Source organism: Homo sapiens, chromosome 15 (assembly GCF_000001405.40).
Source record: "Homo sapiens chromosome 15, GRCh38.p14 Primary Assembly".
NCBI lineage: Eukaryota > Metazoa > Chordata > Mammalia > Primates > Hominidae > Homo > Homo sapiens.
In genome coordinates this window covers 92,906,011-92,930,001 of record NC_000015.10, presented here as the reverse complement: position 1 = coordinate 92,930,001, position 23,991 = coordinate 92,906,011, and the positions used below count along the sequence as shown (strand labels likewise).

The 23,991-nt window shown below is 40.5% G+C and overlaps 1 protein-coding gene across 2 annotated transcripts in view, besides 2 other annotated features; it reads right to left on the bottom strand.

The window, feature by feature from the left end:
• Positions 1 to 23,991, bottom strand: part of CHD2 (chromodomain helicase DNA binding protein 2) — a 127,673-nt gene that overhangs the window by 97,995 nt on the left and 5,687 nt on the right. For both annotated transcript variants that reach the window (NM_001271.4, NM_001042572.3), the window contains exons 3-5: positions 5,450 to 5,681; positions 2,672 to 2,758; positions 911 to 972 (exon numbers count right to left, since the gene is read on the bottom strand). In NM_001271.4, coding sequence (NP_001262.3) covers positions 911 to 972; positions 2,672 to 2,758; positions 5,450 to 5,681 — 381 coding nt within the window. The remainder of the gene's footprint in view (positions 1 to 910; positions 973 to 2,671; positions 2,759 to 5,449; positions 5,682 to 23,991) is intronic.
• Positions 7,321 to 8,520: an enhancer, noted in NCBI's record as "P300/CBP strongly-dependent group 1 enhancer chr15:93464712-93465911 (GRCh37/hg19 assembly coordinates)". NCBI's record gives its function as "activates an origin of replication core promoter dependent on BRD2, BRD4, P300/CBP, MED14 and CDK7 cofactors, with strong dependence on P300/CBP, by STARR-seq in HCT116 cells {active_cell/tissue: HCT116}" and the evidence as "EXISTENCE:reporter gene assay evidence [ECO:0000049][PMID:35650434]".
• Positions 11,867 to 12,703: an enhancer, noted in NCBI's record as "H3K27ac hESC enhancer chr15:93460529-93461365 (GRCh37/hg19 assembly coordinates)". NCBI's record gives its function as "activates a minimal SCP1, AML or CMV promoter by ChIP-STARR-seq in naive H9 embryonic stem cells {active_cell/tissue: H9 hESC(naive)}" and the evidence as "EXISTENCE:reporter gene assay evidence [ECO:0000049][PMID:30033119]".

The following is a 23,991-nucleotide window of genomic DNA, read 5'->3' as shown; positions in this document are numbered from 1 at the left end:
CCCTACATTTATTTAATGTCACAAAATCTTAGCATAGTTTCTAATAATCCTGTTGGGTAGATGGTATTATTTTTTTTTTTGGAGATGAGGAAATGGGTTTTAAAATCTCAAATGACTTGCCTTAGGCCACTTACTAAAGAGTAATAATATTTTACAACAGAGCATATGTACCTAGAGCTCTTAATAGAAGCCATGGACAACTGTTTAACATGAGAACCCCTGAACTGGTATACAAAGTTTTGAATATCTACATTTTTGAGAGAAGCTATAGAATTCAGATTGTCAACGGGATCCACACCCTCTCCAAAAAATGACTTTAAAAATTATTTCTCAAAAAAAATCAAATAATTTCATATCATATAAATCGAACTTTTTAAATTAAAAAATCAACATATAAATCTATGTTATAAAGAAACTCCACATTAAGTCCACAAATTAAATTTTTCTGGCTTATGAACTGCAACATTAAAATTATACAGAAACAACAATATGTAATTTCTTACCAAAATGGATGTTCAGCCAATATAATTTTGCCATAAAAATAGCAAATCTACATTTGTTCCTTGCTTACTACAATACCAAATACCTGTGTACTTGTTATTTATACATATTTTTCTGAAAAAAATCAATGGGCTAATTGGGTTAACCCGATGGAAGAAGCTGAGATTTATCCCAAGCAAAAGCTCGAGTATACGTGGACCCCTTCCATGTGTTAAACTGAGAATCTTGAGTTTCCAATGCTGCTGCTGCTATTGCAACAGGTCAAGGTAGACAGTCACCCGAGCTAGTAAGAGAGACAGAAGCAGACTAAGGGACCTGGAGTAGACTAAAGACACAACGAAGGCAGTCCTAGAAATGCTGACAAGTTTGAAACTACTAGATTGAATAATTTCCCCCATGAAAGACTTACTGTTTTTTCAGCTGCCTCTGGCCTCTTCTTTTTGGGCTCCCACTCTCAGACCCGCTACTTGCCTTCAGTGTGTGAGGGGGGAAAAATGATTACAGACTTTAATTCACAGTTCTTCGGGACAACACTATCTCCTGGATCAACAGTCTACTCAATATACCATTATTCAATATGAGCTTTTAGACACAAAGAAACCTAAGCACTTGCTTGGTGGAACTCCCTCTTCTTTTGATTTGAAAATTAATATCTCTCTGCTATCACTGAGTTATCTCTAAAGCCAGGAAATATTTATCTCAGCTTGACTTCCAGAACAGCAATATCCAATAACTTTCTGCAACGATGTAAATGTCCTGTATCTACAATGTCCAATACAGTACCCATCAGCCACATGTGACTACCAAGCGCTTAAAATGTGACTGGTGTGACTGAGAAATGGAAGTTTTATTTTTAACTAATGCGAATTTTAAAAGCCACATGTGAGTAGTGGGGACCATACTGGATACTGCAGATTGAGACTATCAAATAAAAATGCCACAACATTTAGTCAGTGTGCCTTAAAGGCACCAACTACTGATGTATTCATTTTAGACTCATTTAAGAGTATGTTCACTCATGAGCCAACAGTGCTCTGCTAACAGCACTAGGCCAAGGAAAGCTTACAGTCACAGACATTTCAGTAGCTCTTTCTCTCCACAATTAAGGAAAATGGCAAACTATTCCTATTGCTGTTAATCTTGTACCCTACAGAGAATGTGTTAATTAATATGTAAAAGAGGGAAAGATTTCTACAACTATGTGATTGGTTTTAACAAACATGGCTCAGTAACCTAGTGCGAGACACTATGGAAAACAAAAGCAAAGGCAAAACAGCTCAGAGGTCACTCAAAATAAAACATCACAAATGTAATGCAGATGTTAGGGTGAATTAGATTTTTAAGGTACATTTATTTAAAAACCCACACCCAACTCACTGACCTGTGGCTATCAATATTTAACTTTCATCAGAAGTACGTTATATAGCTAAGACTAGCAAAGTCCTCCCAAGAAAGCAGAAAGTAGACATTTCATTGAGACAAAAGAATCTCTCTTCAGGATCTAGTCTATAAACCTAATTCAGAATAAGAATCCACAAAAATATCACACAAAATGAGAAAGGTGAAAGAAGTCTGATTCTATAGACAACCAAGCCTGGTATAGAATACCAATTTAAAAAAATCACTGATCAATCTCTCACAATTAGAGTAAGTATGTTTGAAACTCATTTTATTATATCTCACACTAAAAATGAGCAAGGAAACCAAATTTAAGAAGTTAAATAAAAGTAGATACATTAATTAAGCACTCCCTCCTCTTTCAGGAATAAATCCCAAACTATTTCTATTGCTCTGTTTGTTTACCAAACAAGTTACCCATTTAATAAATATCTAGGAGATTTAGAAGTTAGGGGCTTAAAAAGGTAAACTTCTTGCTATATATAATCAATTTTCACTATGAGAGACAACTTAAAAAATAAACCATTTTGAGGTCAGTTCTGTATAATACTCTACTAAAAAATTCACTATTATATGATCTTTCTGGTTAGATTCTTTTATTTGATTATTAACTTCTTGCCTTACTGTATCTGGTCATAGATAGCTCATATTAGAGTCACTTAACCCTCATGCCTGAAGTTCAGTCTTTTTAATGGTAATACATACCAGAGTCAGAAAGAATGAAGTAAGATAGGGAGTTTAAATGCATGCCCTTAAAACATTTTTTCCTTACCTCTTCCTTAATATTAAATCGCGATGGTTCTTGTCTGCTTCGGTTTGACCGCCTGACCCCATAAACATCAGGATATTCTTCCCACATCTGTAAAATTAAGAGACCACGCATTAATCTTTTTTCTTGACCCCCATTATTATTATCAAACGTTTATTGCAATTGAAGAGAATTCAAGTAACCAAGTATCAAAAGGGTTGTTTTGCTAGTTCTATTTATGAGACAATAAAGCGCCATTTTTTTTAAAATAGGCATATTATCCTAGGAAATATTAGTTTAACAATGTCTTCATTACTTAACAGCTATAAATCTATATGGTACACCGCTTACCCATCATTAAAATATACAGCTGAATAATACAGAAAGGTAAGACAGCGGCTGCTTCCACTAAAGACAAAGTATTTACTGATACATTTTAAATTCCCTACTGCTTTGAGTTTCAGTCTTGACTGCACTAACCCACACCTGTGAAACTGAAAATACAAGCGGCAAAGCCCCCATTAAGTCTAATTAAGTAAGAATCAGGAATTTGTATTTTTCTTTAAGTTCCTCAGGTCATGTAACATCCCAGATAAACGCAGATGAGGCATTGCTAACACTTAGCTAGAAGTTCTCAGAATGAGAACCACTGCCACCCTTTCTCTAACACATCTATTTTTTATTCTGTAGCAGTAATTAGCCCTTTGCCTTTAAGACCTGATTTTTGTAGACCTGTAACAACCTTTAAGACCTGTAACAATCCTCACCAGTGATTTAAAAAGTTTAAAAGACAGATTAGTTGAGGAGAAAAATCATTTTCACTTTCTTCCCCAGAGATAACTACTACTAAGTATATTCTGTATTCTTTTAACAGAATCACACATAAGCAAAAGGAATTTGAATGGATTGTGGAACACTGACATGAAAAGGTGTAACAGAAATTAAGCAAGTAGCAAAAGCTGAGATGAGAAATATGGGTTATCAAATTACAGGTGACAGCTAACGTCATGAGAATATTTGGAAAAGTAAGGTTCAGAACATGCACAAAAGAAGCCACTAGCTGAGACTTGTGAAATGTTTGTATTTAAAAGTGTAGGGCCAGGCATGTAATCCCACCACCCTGGGAGGTCCAGGCAGAAGAATGGCTTGAGTTCAGGAGCTCAAGATCAGCCTGGGCTACGTAGGGAGATCCTGTCTCTACAACAAAATTTAAAAATTAGACAGGTGTGTCAATACGTGCCTGTAGTCCCAGCTACTTGGGAGGCTGAGGTGGGAGGATCACTTGAACCCAGAAGATCAAGGCTGCAGTGAGCTGTGATTGCACCACTGCACTCCAGCCTGGGGGACAGAGCAAGACCCTGTCTCATCTTTATGAAAAATGATCCAACAATGTCACTAAGAAAGGACATTATCAACAATGACTTTAACAACAACAACAACAACATAAAAATGATGAAGTAAGCTGAAGAAAATCAAGGCTTCAAAAGAAAAGATGGCCCAGAATAGGCATTTTACAACTAGAATCCAATGTAATCACATAACCCAAAGTCCACAGATTCTGTAACGGCCTTAGCATCACCTTGGAGTTAAAGGACAAAAGGTCCAAACAGAAGGAGTTAGGAATAACCAAATGGTAGGAAATATAGGTAGAGGCAGTAAACATAAAACACTCTGAAAAAACCTGGCAGAGAAAGGAAGGAGGGAAAGTGCGCTTTACTCTAGCCTGTCTATCCATGCCCACACCTGGCCCTCTGCTAGAGCTATGAAAGTTTTTACTCAACACAGGTTTTTATGGAGCCCTTATTAACTGGGAGGGCAAAATCATTTCAGTGTTACTACATCAACTAGTTTTATCACTTCAAGATACCAGCCAGGCATTCTAGCTCAACTATTATGACTTTATTACAGCATATATTATAATGTTTACATCCTAAAATTATCTTGTGTTCTTATTTGTCCTTTTGAGAGCCGATATCTAAGTCAACTCCTCCATGAAAAATCTACTATGTGGAGTTACTCACTACTGAGTACTCTTACATGAGTAATAAGCTTTTGGAGGGGGACAGAGAGCTACCATGTGAAAAGGAGGTGTACATAGAAAACCAAGAGCCTTCCTTAGAAGTTCTCATTTTAGGATAATGATTATCAAAGGCACAGTGCAATCATTCTGACTGGCTTGTAGGTCCATCCAACCTATAACTACATATTATTAACTTTCCGGAACTGCTCACTTTAACCTTAAAAATATATTTTAGGCTGGGCATGGTGGCTCAGGTCTATAATCCCAGCACTTTGGGAGGCCGAGGCAGGTGGATCACCTGAGGTCAGAAGTTCAAGACCAGAATGGCCAACATGATGAAACCCAGTCTCCGCTAAAAATACAAAAATTAGCTGGGCGTGGTGGCAGACACCTGTAATCTCAACTACTTGGGTGACTGAGGCAGGAGAATCACTTGAACCTGGGAGGCGGAGATTGCAGTGAGCCAAGATCGTGCCACTGCGCACTCCAGGCTGGGCAACAGAGCAAGACTCTGTTGCAAAAATAAATAAATAAAGTTAAAAACCAAGCGTATAAAAATTTGTCTTTCCTCCCTATAATTGGATGGTTCAGGTCATTTATTTTCCTTAATAGAGCAGAAAGAAGTCTTCATTTGTATCCTCAGATATACTACTGTATATTACTAGAAAAAATGGCTGTAGGTTTCATCATCAAGATATACTAATGAGTTTTCATGAACAACAAAGGTCTGCTAGCTTGTCCTAGGCTAGCAGCACATTTGTACTGCAGGGCAAAGTAGATACCTTCTTCACATCAGCTATCCGTTCCTTCTTAGAGGCTGGCTTCTCTTTGGCTTCTGGGAGGACTGGCTGGGATTTGGAACCTGCTGATTCGCTCTCAGATTCCGACTGACTCTCAGAAGATTCAGAGCTGCTGTTCGACTCGCTGCCATGTCCACTTCCTGGATCACTTCCCTGCTCACTTTCCGACTGACTGCCTGAGTCTGAACCCGAAGCTTCTTCAGAGGCTGAGTGACTTATTTTGAGAGAGAGAGAGATTTAAAAATATTTAAGAACTGACACATGAATCTGCTTAAAAAAAAATTCTCATGGTAAAACATTTGCAGATAGTAATTTTAGTAATATAAGACCAAAATCTTCAAATTCACATTTATACTTTTACATTCCAAATAACGTTATTGCTACCATTCTCAAAATCCCCAATAGCTACCCTTTCCTGAATGTTTACATGATGCTACAGAACAGGTTATTTCTATGGACAGGCTCTTGACAGAAACTCTGAACATGGATATTACTGTCCCCTTCATTCAAATGAGGCTGAACTGAGGCTCATAAGTATTTAACTCTCACACCTAGTTAACACAGTAAGATTTGAAACCAGATATATATGAATCCACGAAGTCTTATCTGTTAAGTATCATTCCCCTCTCAACAAGAAAAAAACAAAACACAGAACAAAACCAAACCAAGCAGGCCGGGCGCGGTGGCTCATGCCTGTAATCCCAGCACTTTGGGAGGCCGAGGCGGGCGGATCACGAGGTCAGGAGATCGAGAGCATCCTGGACCACACGGTGAAACCCCATCTCTATTAAAAATACAAAAATTAGCTGGCTGTGGTGGCACACACCTGCAGTCTAAGCTACTCGGGAGACTGAGGCAGAAGGATCGCTTGAACCTGGGAGGCAAAGGATGTAGTGAGCCAAGATCACGCCACTGCACTCCAGCCTAGAGACAGAGCGAGACTTGGTCTCCAGAAAAAAAAAAAAAAAAAAAACAAGCTGGACACAGTGGCTCAAGCCTATAATCCCAACACTTTGGGAAGCCTAGGCAGGAAGATTGCTTGAGCCCAGGAGTTCAAGACCAGCCTGGACAATATGCAAAACCCATCTCTTCAAGAAAATGTTTAAATTAGCTGGGTATGATGGTGCATGCCTGCGATCCCAGCTACTCGGGAAACTCAGGTGGGAGGATCATTTGAGCCTAGGAAGTCGAGGATGCAGTGAGCCATGATTACGCCACTGTACTCCAGCCTGGGTGTCACAGTGAGACCCTGTCTCCAAAAAACAAAAACAAAAAAAACAAAGCATCTCACCCAAAGAGGAAGAATGCAAACTGGTTGCAATTATCCAATCGTGGTTCTCACTAATAGGAGCAAATTAGGCTCATCTGAGGAGCTTTATAAAAATTTATACACATTAACTTCAATCCAGAGGCCCTGCCTTATAATCTGCAGTGAGATCCAGAAGTGGTAGACTTAACAGAAGTAAGTAAACAAAAAGGGCACTCTGATGCTAATGAGAACACCCAACCCAATAAAGACGGCTACTGGCCTCCACACATCTCCCTTCCCTTCTTCATTCCAAACATCCCATAGGGAGCAGCAACCTAAGTAGGTAGATGTCATCTAAAGGAACAAAACAGAAACCACAGAGACTGAGGGGTGATAGAGTATCAATCTCAAGCACAGAGAAAACAATATCCTCATCTTCCTCTAATGGTGAAAAAGCAACTGAGGGGCATGCTGGTAGAGGGGAAGATACTCTGAAGCAAAAAGACCTCAAACGGATGGACTCTACAGCAAGAGGTGGACTGTTTACTCTTGCTTAAAAACTACCCATCTTTGCTCTGAGGGGGGCAAGGAAAAACCCAGAACCTACAGTAACATTAACAGAAAAGTCCCTGAGTTCAGAAGCCAGGAGATAAGACACGTGGCACAAAACCTGAAAGGGTAAGGGGAAGTTCTATATTTACCATCACTGCATCTTCTAGAGGTGCACAGGGCAGTACACTGCAAACTGGGACTGCTGCAAATAACACCATGCGATCCACAGCACATTACAATACGGAGGCCTTTCAGTTACCATGAGGAAGCAATGAGAAAAAATGGGAGAGCAGGGGTCGAGGGGAGGTTCTCAATACTGGGAAGTGGGGAAAGATGAGAAAAACCATGTAACTTCCTGATCACCTAACAGGTATCAGACACTAGGCTAAGTACTTTATATGTATTATTTTGCTTATTCCCAAGGACAATACTATTAGGCATTATTATCACCATATGAATGACGAAAAAAACTGACCTCTTTTATGTAACTTGGCCAATGGACAAAACTAGAAATTGAGGAAGAGGGTGAGGGGCCGGGATTCCAATCCAAGTGTGGATCTAAAGCTCATTTCTTTCTATTTTACCATAGGGGGCCAAAAGATTAGAGACTCAGAAAACATTATTAACTCTTATCCCTGTTACACAAGGTCCCAAAACAGGCTTCCTTGTAACAAGTGACTCAACAGTTTCAAGACCTCATTACAATTACTGACTCCTTAACCCCTTGCACAGTCCAAGCTGACTAGTCCAGGTGACTAAAGCATCTGAGTCATTTACTTTATACCTGTGACCAGGCAGGTTGTCAACAGGAAAGAAAAAAGGAAGAGGAGAGCTGGATAGTGATAGGAACACTTAAAAGCTGTGGGCTCTGGCATCGCAGCTTCCATTTCAGTCCTAGCTCACCTCAGGCCTGTGTCATCTTTTAACTTGTGTCAACCTATGTGACATCTACCAGTAGTGTCATAAGAACATCTAATGGCAGCTATGAAAGCAGTGCCCTATAAATGCCAAAGCCCTACCCAAACAGGAAATCTGAGCATATCACATCCAAGCTGAGATTCCCCTTCTAACACAAAATTCTCCCCAGCTAACACCCATTAGTGAGTCGTTACCCCACAATCCATGACACTAGCTGGAATTTATTAGTTTTGCCTCCACTATTTGTTCATGGACAGACAGGTACAGAGACAGCTCCAGAATTTCCTTGTAAGTAAGGAAGGGATTTATTTAATAGAAAGGGCAGTCTACTTGAAAGGGATGTTAGGCAAGGCAGTACCTGGAAACTGTATTCCCATAGCAAAGGCAGCTGAAGGCTTGTTCACCTCCCAGGCATCCGGGTCTTCTGGTCACTGATAACATCCAATTTCAGCATGCCCTATAAAACCTGGCCTCTGACAATTTCTCAAGGCACATGACTTAATCATTTCTTCCCTCACCCCCACTGCTCCAGACTCTAGACCTAGCATTGCTCCCCTCTAGCTCCTGCACCCACTGCGGACACAGCAAATTAAATACCTCTCTAATTTTGTGGGCTTAGGTATCACCTTCTCCCAGAAAACATCCTTTGGTCTCCTATCCTAAGCTCAATACCTATCAGATACTTCCACAATACTGACATATGTCACAGCAGTTACCACCACCGAGATGGAAAACAGGCAGCCACATCTCAAGTCTGAGCTTCAATTACCATGCCCTGCTGGCTCTCTATACTTTTAGCAATGACACACATGCTGACCTAGAAAGACTCACTCCAAAGCTCCGGCAGCTGTTAACATCTACACTACCTTGCCTCCACTTGTCCCATACTATCGAGTAATCTGGCCGCTTGTCAACCTCCCCAATAAACTTGCAAACTAAGCATATCTCCTTTGATGTTCTTTGTGCCTGGTATATTAGAGAAGGATTCAATTGCACATTCATTTGCTAGAATGTGCAATTTGCCTCCCCTTTGAAATAACGTATTTAGTTTTTCAACTACTATAATGTTTAACTCCAGACAAAAGTTTAAGAATAGAATCATGTTTTGGCAATCACCACCAATAAAACTGTCACAGACAACAGGTCTACACACTACTAGGAAACAGAAAACTCCAACAGCAACAAAAAGACTGAAAATCTTTACCAACTAGAGACCCACAAAAGGCAGCATTAGTTTACTGAAGATAACTAGAACAGCCCAACTAGAAATGTTTATAGTGTTCTGTGTTGAAAAGTGGGAAGCACTGCAGATAGGATGTAATGGAATGCCAATGCCCGCATCAGGATATGTCTATATGGATGCCCATCTCATTCCCTTTGAACTGGTTTATACTATAAATTCACTACATTTTATATAACATTCCCCTATTAACGGTACATTTAGGTTATTTTCAGATTTTTCACTTAATCAATAAGTTGCAAATATCTCTGATACACTTTCCATATTTCTGAGTAGAGTATTTGTATTTGGAAACTGTTGACTGTAACCATAAATATCTTTCTTTCTACGTATCTTCTTGTGCAGCTATGTGTTTTTGAGTTTGTGTAGGAGAGTGATTCCTAGAAATGTAACAATGCACACAACAATACCTTCTGGGGAAAAAAAAAAGCCGTTTTTCTGTCAGCATATATCTATGTGTATAAATGCATTTTAATCACCACATTGCTAACACTGGTTTACTCTGTTAGGGATGGGTTATTTGAAGTATACTTGTGAGTTCCATGGATTACTTGTGTAATTTCAAAAATAACAACAATGAAAATCAAACCCAAGAAAAGATTAACACCAAGTTCACAACTATATTTGCCTTTAGGGGTTGAGGGAGGCAGATGCTCTCAGGGAATGATACTAGTGACATTTTATGACTGAAACTTAGTAGTGAAGCTTAATAGTGAATTCACAGCACTTCATTATATACCTTAAGTATTTTTAATGTCTAAACTAGTTAATTGTCTAAAGTAAGTCTAATCATGAGAGCCAAATCCAAACCAAGGGCGGCAAGTACATCCCACCCTACACAAAACCAGCAAAGATTTGAATGAGTGTTTTTAAAAAGTGTTTTTAGGCCAGGCGCGGTGGCTCACGCCTGTAATCCCAACACTTTGGGAGGCTGAGATGGGAAGATCATGAGGTCAGGAGATGGGAGACCATCCTGGCTAACACGGTGAAACCCCATCTCTACTACAAATACAAAAAATTAGCTGGGCATGGTAGTGTGCCTGTAGTCCCAGCTACTCGGGAGGCTGAGGCAGAAGAATCACTTGAACCCAGGAGGCAGAGGTTGCAGTGAGCCGCAATCGTGCCATTGCACTCCAGCCTGGGCAACAAAGCAAGACTCCGTCTCCAAAAAAAAAAAAGTGTTTTTAAATTGTTTTTGGAACCAGAATCAGATGTAAGACTGAATACAAGTACTAATGAGGGGAACTGCTTAAAGAAGAAAAAAAAAAGCCTTAACAAAGTCATTACTTAATTTTCATACTTCTCGTAAGAGGAATAATCACTAAATAAACTGGAAATGGAAAATGAGATCGTGCCACTGCACTCCAGCCTGGATGACACAGCCAGACTCCGTCTCAAAAAAAAAAAAAGTGTAATTATGGGCCGAGCATGGTGGCTCAAGCCTGTAATCCCAGCACTCTGGGAGGCCCAGGCGGGTGGAACACCTGAGGTCAGGAGTTCAAGACCAGCCTGGCCAACACGGTGAAACCCAGCCTGTACTAAAAAAACAATTAGCCAGGTATGGTGGCATGCACCTGTAATCCCAGCTACTTTGGAGGCTGAGGCAGGAGAATCGCTTGAACTCAGGAGGTGGACGTTTCAGTGAGCCGAGATCACACCACTGCACTCCAGCCCAAGCATCAACAGCAAAACTCTGTCTCAAAAAATATATATATATATGTATGTATATATATGTGTGTATGTATATATATGTATATGTGTATATATGTGTGTATATATAGCGTACATGTGTATATATACGTATATATATATTCATATTATTCCCTTAAAAAAACGACATTTCCTAAAAGACTATGTAGAATTGCCATTAATACCTAATAATTATAATAGTAAATACTATTAGTACTAAGCTGTAGCTTTAGTGCTGGTTTAGTAGAGGAGGCAGAAAGCCCACAAGACTAATAGAAAGGGTCAAACTGAGTTAGTGAGTGGAGTCCTTTAAGCCTTCACCTAAATAACAAAGTAATAAAATTAGCTGACTACCAGTGGCTTACTAGTTACAGGGCAATTAAACATTGGATTTTCAGGAATGACTATCCAACATATATACAGAATCTTCACGAAAAACAACTATCTGAAAATTATTCAACATCTAAATTGCAAACAACTTTTATAATTTTTTACTTAACAAATAATTAAAAGGAAAATACAACACACAGATAAAAAAACAAGTCAAAACTGGGAATTCAGATTCCAATCAAAAATAAATGCTGATGAGAAAAAGGTTTACCACTTCCTTTTGCTTGTGGATAAAAAGAATTTGGTATCTCTTCAAAATACTTTCTGAAGTAGGTAAAAACGGAGTGATTAACCTTCTTGGAACTGGACTTTGAAACGAAGTGCCATTAACACTTACTGTTCCATTTTTAATCGCGGTTTCCCAAATGGCCACAAGAGGGCAGCACAGCAACATTCCACTTAAAAGGAGCCAGCCTGTGGGAGCCCCGCCCAAAAGCCGCCATTTCACTTTAGTGTTTATTTTGCTAACTTACAAAATGGCCGAACTGGTTGGCAGAGCTTAGTGTTTTTGTGGGTGAAAGCAAAATCTGGCAAAACAATCACAAAGCAATCTACACTGGAATTCCATAAAACTTATTTCCAGGCTAACTTCCTGCCAGTGATACAATAGCTAATATTTACGGAGCACTTTTGTGTCAGGCATATGTCAAAATTCTCCTAATCCTTACCTATAAAGAAGACAAAGCCCAAGAGTGTGTGTGTGTATGTGCGTGTGTAAGATATCACCCCACAGTCTGAATTATGCAATCCACACTATCAACTATCAGCGTTAGGTATCACTGCCCTTATTTACATACATTCTTCAGTTGAACTGATTATTAAACCGATGTCATTGCATAACTATTCCTTCTCAGTCACTTCTATGTGTCTTAAGATGGAAAAGCAAAGAAGACTGACTGGTCACACCTTTTTTTTCTTTTTGCTTGTTTGTTTTTTGAGACCAAGTCGCGCTCTGTAGCCCAGGCTGGAGTGCAGTGGCGTGATCTCGGCTCACCGTAACCTCCGCCTCCAGGGTTCATGCGATTCTCCTGCCTCAGTCTCCAGAGTAGCTGGAATTACAGGCATGCCCCACTGCACCTGGCTAATTGTTTTGTATTTTTAGTAGAGACAGGGTTTCACCATGTCGGCCAGGCTGGTCTTGAACTCCGGACCTCAGGTAATCTGCCCGCCTTGGCCTCCCAAAGTGCTAGGATTACAGGCATGAGCCACTGCGCCTGGCCACACATTTCTTATTGGTAAAGAATACTGGATGTAGTTCTTTAAACTCTCCACCTTTGGTTCAAGTCCTGTGCTTCTTCAGAATAAGTTATTACTATAAACAAGGTTAAAAGACAAGTAACTTGTTTCCCAGACGGACTGGGAAACAAAATTTCAATGTACACATAACAAAGTATATAGATACACAACATATGAAGAATTACCTATCAAAAATCCAACCAAAAACTGCACAAAGAAAATGGATACGCAATTACGGAGAAGAAACTGAAATGGCCAATAAACTCATTTTTAAAAATAACTAAACCTCTGTTAACTTGGGAAACATTATAACTGGTTATTTTGCACTCATCTGCTTTGCAGAAATTAAAGTCTCTTAGTATTAAATAATTGTAAGAATAGCCAGTAACCCTTAAAATGTATACGAATCAGCCAGGAGCAGTAGCTCATGCCTGTAATCCCAGCAATTTGGGAGGCCGAGGTGGTCAGATTAGGAGGTCAGGAGACTGAGACAATCCTGGACCACATGGTGAAACCCCGTCTCTACTAAAAATACAAAAATTAGCTGGGCGTGGTGGCACGCGCCTGTAGTCCCAGTTACTCGGGAGGCCAAGGTAGGAGAATCGCTTGAACGTGGGAGTTGGAGGTTGCAGTGAACTGAGGTTGCACCATTGCACTCCAGCCTGAGCAACAGGGTGAGACTCCAACTCAAAAAAATAAAAAAGTGTATGAATCCTGTAATTCAATTTGTGGGCATGTAACGTAGACAAATTATCAAACTTGTATAGGACGAGGCAAATAAATATTCAGAGCTCTGTTCATAACAAAACCTAAATAATCCATATACCCATTTATGAAAATGTAAAAGTAAAATGTGAAATATTCACACTATGCAACTAAATGCAGCAGCTAGATTAGGGCTGAATTATGTCTGTAAATACTGTGAGCCCAAAAGTATCTGAAACAGAGCTCAATCAATTTAGAAAGTTTATTTTGCCAAGGTTAAGGACGTGCCCGTGACACATCCTCAGGAGGTCCTGATGGTATGTGCCCAGGGTGATGGGGCACAGCTTGGTTTTCACACATTTTAGGGAGACATGAGACATCAATATGTGTAAGATGCACACTGGTTTGGCCTGGAAAGGCCGGACAACTGGAAGCAGGGGAGGGGGCTTCCAGGTCATAGGTAGATAATAGACAAACAGTTGCATTCTTTTAAGTCTCTTGATTAGCCTTTCACTGAATACACAAGTTCCATGTGAGAAGAGAGTAGAGGCATAGTCATTTATGCCTCAGTCTGGCTTAGCAAAACAACAGGGCAGAGGAAGCAATCAGATACGCATTTGTCTTAGGTGAACAGAGGGGATGGCTTTGAGTTCTTTGTCCACAAGGAATTTCCCTGTGGGCAAATTGTTAGGGAGGTATGTAGCATTTTTATTTTTCTAGCTATCTTATTTAGGAAAAAAATGGGAGGCAGGTTTGCCTGACACAGTTCCCAGCTTGACTTTTCCCTTTGGCTTAGTAATTTGGAGATACCGAGATTTATTTTCCTTTCACAATATCAAAAAGAAAATTTCAAAACTATTAAATTTTTAAAACACAAAACATATTTACATAACCATGTACATTTTATAAGTGCCAACTCTTTATATGCCAAAATCATAAAAGTGACCCTAGCTATGTCTAACTTTTTTATTTTAAAACTTTATTAGGCCGGGCGTGGTGGCTCACGCCTGTAATCCCAGCACTTTGGGAGGCCGAGGCAGGCAGATCACAAGGTCAGATGGAGACCATCCTGGCTAACACGGTGAAACACTGTCTCTACTAAAAATACAAAAAGTTAGCCGGGCATGGTGACACATGCCTGTAGTCCCAGCTACTCGGGAGGCTGAGGCAGCAGAATGGCGTGAACCCGGGAGGCGGAGCTTGCAGTGAGCTGAGATCGCACCACTGCACTCCAGCCTGGGCAACAGAGCGAGACTCTGTCTCAAAAAAAAAAAAACTTTAATTATATCCTTTGAACTTTTCTGAATTCTTAATTTCTGACAAAAGAGGTCTGTTTCTAACACTGTAGAACTGATCAGTTCTAAGGTGCAGGCCCCTCCCCAGGATTCAGCAGTGCTCTCAGCAGTCACCCTAACACACGCAACACTACGGACCCTCCTTCCAGTGTTAAACAGAATCTATGGAAGGCCACTAATTTGGACCGAGCTCCTAGACCCTAACAGACCAAACCAAAATAGAGTCACTCATGTTAAACTTCTAAATTGTTTACCTTACCTTCAGGAAAGAAGATACCCAAATCCCCAGACAGACAGTGTGAGCTGGCATAAGGAAGTTCCCTCTGCTTTAACCCTTATAAGGAAAATAACCTCAAGTAACCTGATGTTAACCCACATTTTTGTACTATGTTGTTTTCCTGTTCCTGCTCAACCTTATAAAAACCGATTGTTCCACCATGCCCAATGGGCACCTATTTTTTTATAGATGGGGTGCTACCTAATTTGTTAATCAATAATAAAATCCAATTAGATCTTTATACTCAATGTGTTGAAATGTTGTCTTTTGACAGCAGAAAAAGGTACATGTATAAGAAAAAGTGCACACAAAATGCTGCTTATAATTTCAAGGGATAAAAAGGCTAAATTCCATCAAGTACCTCCCAGATTAAGAAATCCAGCAGTAAGGACAGAAAAAAAAATTTACCTTTAATCAGTGTATTTCTAAAATTCACAGCTGAAGCCAGGCAGGCATCACCTTAGCCTCATCATGCATACTACTTCTGCTCCCCAATAACCAAATATAAGTAGTTTCCATAGCACCAAACTATTAGCACCCAGGCATACATTAGAGAAACATGTATTCTAGCAAGAAGCCTGGTTAAGGTACAAATTAGTTAAGGCACTTCACAAATACCTACCTAATCAGGATCTGGCAATGTGCTAATACACAAAAGACAAAAGAAGCTTTCTATTCAGGTAAAATCAAAAGTCTTTGTAAATAACCAAGCTGTGAAAAGCAGTTACAAGGGGAGTTCTCCCCAGAATTCATTAACAAAAGAATACTTAACCACCTCGGGCAATGTATTTACACCCATTAAAGCCCTAAGGACAGATGGACCAATTTGACCAAGAGTTCCTTTCAGCCCTGTGAGTCTTGTCTTTAGTTAGCTATTGTTTAGGTTATAAACTTTAGACTTTTATAAAATATATGGTGCTTTCAGCAACTCCCAAAGTTCAAAGGAGATTAAAAGATCTGATTACCAATCCCAATAATAAATGTGAAACGTATGCCCATAACGTCATGGGAGTAAGAGGGGTCCCTGGATCAGGCCAGAGAAGAAACCGCAAAGGGACTCAACTTTATTACTAACAACCAACATTTACCAAGGCAAGCACGGTTTCTCAATCATAGGGTTTTTGTTTTTTTTGGATAGGGTCTTGCTCAGTTGCCCAGGATGGAGTGCACGTAATGTGATCACAGCTCACTGCAGCCGCAAGCTCTTGGACTCAAGCAATCCTCCCACCTCAGCCTTCCAAATAGCTGGGACTATAGGTGCATACTGCCACACCCGGCTAATTTTTACATTTTTTGTAGAAATGGCATCTCCCTAAATTGCCCAAGCTGGTCTCGAACTCCTAGCTCAAGGGATCCCACCTCAGCCTCCCAAAGTGCTGGGATTACAGGCGTGAACCGCCGTGCCCAGCCTAGTGGTGGCATTATAGATGCCTGAGGCTGGATAATTTGTTATTGTGGGGAGCTGTCTCATACACACTCTTGGATGTTGGGGAGCATCTCTGGCCTCTACCCACTAGAGGCCAGTAACACCCCCACCCCCAGAGTGACAAGCAAAAATGTCCAGGGTAATGGAAGGGGACAAACCTGCCACTAGTTAAAGACCACTGCCTAGAAGTATCATTTTATTTAATTTGAACTTCCTTCCCTAAGAGACAAGTACTACCCTTACTCTATTTTAAAAGATGAAGAAACAGGCTCAGACACTCCTGCCCAAGATTCTACAGCTAAAAAGCAGCAGAACAGAACAGAAAAGATCGAAACCCCGTCCCACACTGACCTTATTCCCAAACTTGCCTCAGTACAAGAATCAACTGAGGTTGCTGTTCAACATACAGATTCTTGGACACAACCCTAGAATTGCTGAATTTTTTAACTTTCAAGCAAGAAGCCTGGGAATATGTTGAACAAGCACCCCAGGTGATTTTTAGCAAGTAAACTTAAGGATTTAAACGTCTATATAAAGCTAGATTCAGAGGGAACAGACTTTTTTTTAAGCAAGGGAAAGAGAACAGTGCAAGAGTTTGATCCATTACTGCTTTCCTTTGAAATTACAATTCACCAGTCATATATTGCCTCTATTTGAATGCCAACCTGCATCTAAATGGAAGACACACTGATCATTTTAGTTTGTCAGGGCCTGGCGCAGTGGCTCACGCCTGTAATCCCAGCACTTTGGGAGGCCGAGGCGGGCGGATCACAAGGTTGGCGGATCACGAGGTCAGGAGTTTGAGACCAGCCTGGCCAACATAGTGAAACCCCTGTCTCTACTAAAAATACAAAAAATTAGCCAGGCGTGGTGGCGGGCACCTGTGGTCCCAGCTACTCAGAAGGCTGAGGCAGGAGAATCACTTGAACCCAGGAGGTGGAGGCTGCAGTGAGCCAAGATCGAGCCATTGCACTCTAGCTCAGGCAACAAAGCGAGACTCCGTCTCAAAACAAAACAAAACAAAAATACAAAAATTAACTGGGCACGGTGGTGCACACCTGTAATCCCAGCTACTTGGGAGGCTGAGGCAGGAGAATCACTTGAACCCAGGGGGCAGAGGTTACAGTAAGCCGAGACTGCGCCACTGCACTCCAGCCCAGGCGACAGAGCGAGACTCCGCCTCAAGATTGTCAACACACAACACACTCAAGAACTATTCCCCGAGACGGCAGATAAACACAACAGTTCTCAAGCCTAGCTATGCCACAGACCCACCCAGAGCTTTGGACAATTCCTCAAACCTACTACATGGCTCCCAAATCCAATCAGACAGGGAGCTTGGCTTTTAAAATTCTCCAAGTGATTCTCATGCAAAACCTGTCTGGGAACTAAGTTTCGAACAAAAAAAAACAAACTTGAAGCAAAGCACAAATCTTCAAAACGTGTGGCCAAATCCAAAGTTCATGTGTGCCAATGGACGACAAACTGCACAAAGGTGAAGTTCCGAGGCCTCCAGTACCTCCCATCTACCCATCTTTGCACATTTGTTTCTTATACTATCCCCATGAGCATCACTTCAGGGCAACATTTTAACTAGAATCTTTTGATGTAGAGTCATGGCCTTTTGAACAGCAGAATGTGTGACTGGCATCAATCACACCCACAGTGCACTGTGATTTTGAGTCTGCTTCTTTAAAATGCAAAGTGTTTAAAAAGAAGCAAACTACAGAATTATGCAAGATTTTTACTATTTTCCGCAGTCTCATATACATTAGTTTCCTCTTTTTTTGTTGATGTTGATTTTTTCTTGGGCAGGGGTTGGGGGGACACAGTCTCACTCTGCTGCCCAGGCTAGAGTGGAGTGGTGCGATCTGAGCTCACTGCAACTTCCGCCTCCCAGGTTCAAGCGTCTCTGCCTCAGCCTCCCTAATAGCCGGTATTACAGGAGTGCACCACCACATCCAGCTAATTTTTGTATTTTTAGTAGACACAGGGTTTCACCATGTTGGCCAGGCTGGTCTCGAACTCCTGGCCTCAAGTGATCTGCCAGCCTCAGCCTCCGAAAGTGCTGGGATTACAAGAATCAACCACTACACCCGGCTAAGTTTCCTCTTACCCATTAATTTGACAGCAACTTTTCACAAGATGCTTAATCAATGCTGGAGTCAAACTGCCACTGTTTGAATCCCAATTCTACCATCTACTCTCCTTGTGACTCAATTTTCTCATCTAGCAAATAGCGATAAGCATATGTACCTCAGGAGTGGTGAGAATTACATAAACTAACACATACAAAGCAATCAGAACAAGTTCTAGATTCTTAGGAGGTAGTATACATGCTATTATTTAGTCTTCCTAAAGCATTCAACTTAGTTTTCACTGAAACAATCTCTCACAATCATTTCGCCTACTGACTTGCTATTTAATTAAAATGCAAAGTTACAAGTATCATGCACCACATAAGGAAGTTTAGGTCAATGACTGGTGTCATATACAACAGTGATCCCATAAGACTGTAATACTGTATTTTAACTGTACCTTTTCTGTTTAGATACACAAATATTTACCATTGTATTACAATCACCTACAGCATTCAGTACTGTAACATGCTCTATACAGTTGTGGCCTAGGAGCAACAGGCTACAGCATAAGTGTGCAGTAGGCTATACCTAGGTTTGTGTGAGATGTTCATACAACTACAAGATCACCTAACGACATACTTCTCAGAATGTATCTCCATTGCTAAGCAACACATGACCGTACAACCAGCATAAACAAATTCAAGATGTATCTACTAATCCTTGGTAAGCACACAATGGAACTGAAGGAACAGAACGGCATGGGTAGTAAATGCTCGGCAGGGACCAGGCGCAGTGGCTCACCCCTGTAATCCCAGCACTTTGGGAGGCGGAGGTGGCAAGATCATTTGAGGTCAGGAGTCTGAGACCAGCCTGACCGACATGGTGAAATCCCATCTCTACTAAAAATAGTAAGAAGTAGCTGGGTGTATGGTGGCAAACGCCTGTGATCCCAACCACTCGGGAGGCTGATGCAGAACAATCGCTTGAACCTGGGAGGCGGAGGTTGCAATGAGCTGAGACGGCGCCACTGCACTCCAACCTAGGCAACACAGTGAGATTCCGTCTCAAAAAAATAAATAAGATCAGCAGGACCTAAGGTCACCCACAGGCCTTTAAAGGAAGAGGACTATGTAATCATTCATTTAGTGAGTTGGTTAACTTTAGGAGGGTTACTAACATTTTTGCTATACTGACTTTCATATTAAATAAAATATACATATAGCCAGGCATGGTGGTTCATGCCCAGTTCAACACCAGCCTGGGAAACGTGGCGAAACCCCCTCTCTACAAAAAATTCAAAAAATTAGCCAAGTGCAGTGGCATGTGCCTGTAGTCCCAGCTACTAGGGAGGCTAAGGCAGGAGAACTGCTTGAGCCTGGAGGGTGGAGGTTGCAGTGAACCGAAATTGTACCACTGCACTCCAGTGTGAGAGATGGGAGTGAAACCCTGTCTCAAAAGAAAAAATTTATATATATGTATATATGTGTATATATATACATATATACATACACACACACACACACACACACACACACACGTAAAACCCTTAAAACAGTCCCTTACCCAGAGTAAGCACTCAATAAATATAAATCTACTTTGGTATTTTTCTACAAAATGTTCACCATGTACAATATTCCTTCCTGATAAAATCCAAAGTGAAGGCCAGGTACGGTGGCTCACATCTGTAATCCCAGCACTTTCGGAGGTCTAGGTGAGCCCAAGAATTAGAGACCAGCCTGGGCAACATGGTCCAAACCCATCTCTACAAAAATTAGACAGGTGGGGTGGTACACACCTGTGGTCCCAGCTCCTTGGGAGGCAGAGGTGGGAAAATCCCACCTGAGACTGGGATTGCAGCACCGCACTGTGTATGAGACGCTCCCCACAATAACAAATTATCCAGCCTCAGGCATCTATAATACCACCACGAGGCTGGGTATGATGGTTCACACCTGTAATCCCAGCACAGCAGAGTGAGACTCTGTCCCAACAACAACAAAAAATCCAAAGTGAAAGATTACCAGCTAGCAGGCACTGCTAGACTTAGAAACAACCCATACAAATGGGATACACCCTGGAGTTTATTACCACATTCTTTTGTATTTTTTCAATGTCGGTCACAATTCACAACCCACCAATGTTTTTATAAACCCAAGGGAAAGGAAGTTTAGAATGGAATGTAACTGCATTCCAAGTAAATAATTCTAGAATCTAAACTTCCAAAGGATGTAAGGAGAGTACACTAAGGAAGAGACGACCACAAGAGCTTAAAGCGACTAGAAGACACTTACAAGGAATTCAGAATCTTGAGGGGAGAAAGCCCACCTGCATATACATTTTTTATCTTTTTTCTTTTTTTTTTTTTGGTCACCCTGTCTCCCAGGCTGGAGTGCAGTGGTGTGTCAGTTCATCTAACTGCAACCTCCGCCTCCCAGCTTCAGGAGATTGTCCGGCCTCAGCCTCCCAAGCAGCTGGGACTACAGGCACCCACCATCATGTCCAGCTAATCTTTGTATTTTTAGTAGAGACAGGGTTTCACCATGTTGGCCAGGCTGTTCTCGAACTCCCTACCTCAAGTGATCCGCCTGCCTGGGCCTCCCAAACTGCTGGGATTACAGGAGTGAGCTACCACGCCCAGCCTGTGTATACATTTTAAAGGTATGCCTAGAACTGGATCTGCCATGACATTTAATATAGAAACATCCTCTTCCATCAAGCCTACAATTCCCCGTCAGCATCCTATCCCACTTTTGCTTCCAGAGGTCCTAACTCAAGCAGCTATTAAGACTAAAAAGGGAATTTAAAAATGGGACAGGCAATGGAAAGACCAAGGGTTAAAGTACACGAAGTGCTCCATCAGAAGATTTGAAAACACACGGAGATACTGCAAACATACAGAAACACATGCAAATTTGAAACACAGAGAGCTTTTAAAAATTAACTAGATCCTAGGGGCAGGGATGGACACTGGTATTTTTAGAAGCTCTCCACAGTCTGAAATGGGAATAAAAAGTAGAACCCATCTGACCTATAACCCAAAAAAGACAGGAAATAGAGGAAGTAGAGGAAACCCAAAACACACAAATCTTAAGACTATAGTTTAAGCAGACTTGCATGTTCGGCATTATGCTAAGACAAATATATAGTCCTATGGTTTAGACTGAACACTGAAAGCAAGCTACAGCCAATTAGACATTGGTTGTAAATATTACTGCTGTTACATTTATATCCATGGAGCAGTGCACCACAGTATTCAGTATTCATTCTCTAACAGCTTGAGAGGGGAAATGAGACAGAGGATAAACCAGGGTAATAATTATCAGCTTGGGGGAGTGGGGGTGGGTAGTTATCTACTCAGACTAACTGGCAAAAGCCGGGCTGTGATTCACACAAGAAGCTGTTGTAGTCCAGGAAGAGTCATATGCTCTCTCAAAAGGCTGGCTCTTCTCAAAAAAAAAAAAAAAAAAAAAAAATTCTAAGAGAGGATGAACTGTAAAACGCACCCAAGCTGACTAAATGAGGACTTGCCTCCTAAAATCATTCTCACAAATCTCTCCTGTAACTGGCCTAAACAAACTCTCCTGGTAGGCCAAGACAACCAGCGAGTTCCTCAGGGCCAACCTAGCTCCTGAAGAAGAACTTAGGATATGAAGGAGGGGTGCAAGAAAGTAAGATGAAACAAACAGTAAGAATAAAATAACCTTACTAAAAGCTTACATTTATTGAGCACTTTTAATGTGATGGGCTCTTTGCTAAGCATTTTATGGGCACTATATTATTTAATCTTCATGACCCAATGAAGATGACCATTATCTACATTTTTAAAATGAGAAAATTACAAGTCCAATCATAAGTGCTTCTTCACTGGCCTAAACTGGGAACAAAAATTTTCAGGACTAAAGTAAAAGCTGAACTCATACCTAGCTCTTGCCAGGCACAGAGGTAACAGTTAAGCATACACAAGTGACAAAATGACTCATCAGAATTAAATCCAAAGTATAAAATCAAGACTATCTCTACAATCCTGCCTTAGCCGGATGCTTCTGAAACATTCTCTCCTTCAAGATCAGTGATCACATTTTCCCCAAACTACAGGGACTCAGTAATGAGAACTGAAATACTTTTCAGTATGATATCCAGTCCAGAACATGTTGAAATACCAAACAAGAAGACCCATAACCAAACATATTAACAATAAAATGCTAAATTATGTAGCATGAATGGCTACCACATATCTATGTCCTCCATCATTTATTTCAAAAAGAAAAGCCTTGTCCCTCACTTCATAATCAGGGCTCAAATATATTCAGTATATAGGAGCTTTTTTTAAAAAATGTCTCTCCCCCTAGACTTGCTTTATCAATTAAAGATTCCATTGATTACAGAAAAGGGTCATAAGACAAATGTGAGTAATGTGTTCCAGCATTGTGCTGAATTACTGATCACAAAATAAAAATACAATCCAGCCTGGACATTGGATGACTAAGTTTTGTTACTCAGGCTTTATACTGATAACCCTAAAGTTCCAAAACAAGTTGTGAATGGCAGCTTTGCAAAGGTATACATGTGAACTCAACGCTTAGTCAAGCTGAAGTGCAGGAGGGAGTTACTCAGCTGTGACACACCCAGTGTAACCAAGCCACAAAGTTACTTTCACCTGTACACAAAATACTCTTAGAGGAATTTTTTTTTAAGTTTCTTTGTTCAAGTGACACCATATCAAGAAAGCCAAGTTCTTCAAGGAAGCAAAGTTCTAAGGTTACCAAGAAGCAGCTAAAAACTAAAGGATCTTAAAAAAAAAAAAAAAAAAAAGATGGCTCATAGCAAGAAAAAATTTAATGGCTGACACAGAGCAGTCACTCAATTTTTATACCAGAAACAAACTTAGTGTATCAAATTTTATGGGAGAAATGATAGGAGTTTGGAAATACCAGGTGGTCTCAGGAGGTCTCTCATAACTGTCAGTTGTTTTATTTGGGGGTAAGGGAGAGTAAACTAATGATAAAATCTGTGAGTTTTAGTTAAAATTCAAATAAACTTCCAGATTCACTCCTCAAGCAATAACTTGCTACAACTGTCACAACCAAAAGTCTTTATCAAAAATATTATTTGCCCACCTTCCTCTGCTGACTTAATCTTTACAAAGATACTAACTCCCTAACGGCCAAATACTAGTTGGAAAGTGCATATTTTAAACGGCAAGGATACAGAGAGAGAGAGAGAAAGAGAGAGAAATCGATCAACACTCTTTTCTTGCTGCTTGATGCTATTCCCCACATCAAAGGGAAAAAAAGTAGAAGGCTCAACAAACATACCTAAGAACACTGGTTCTATAAAAAACTTAATTGGCTGCAAGATTGTCAACAGTTAATAGGTAAATTGTTATATCATGGTATGCATTTTAACTCATAATGGTATTTAGGTTAAAATATCTTAAATAACAGAATAGTTCATATCCTCTTCAAA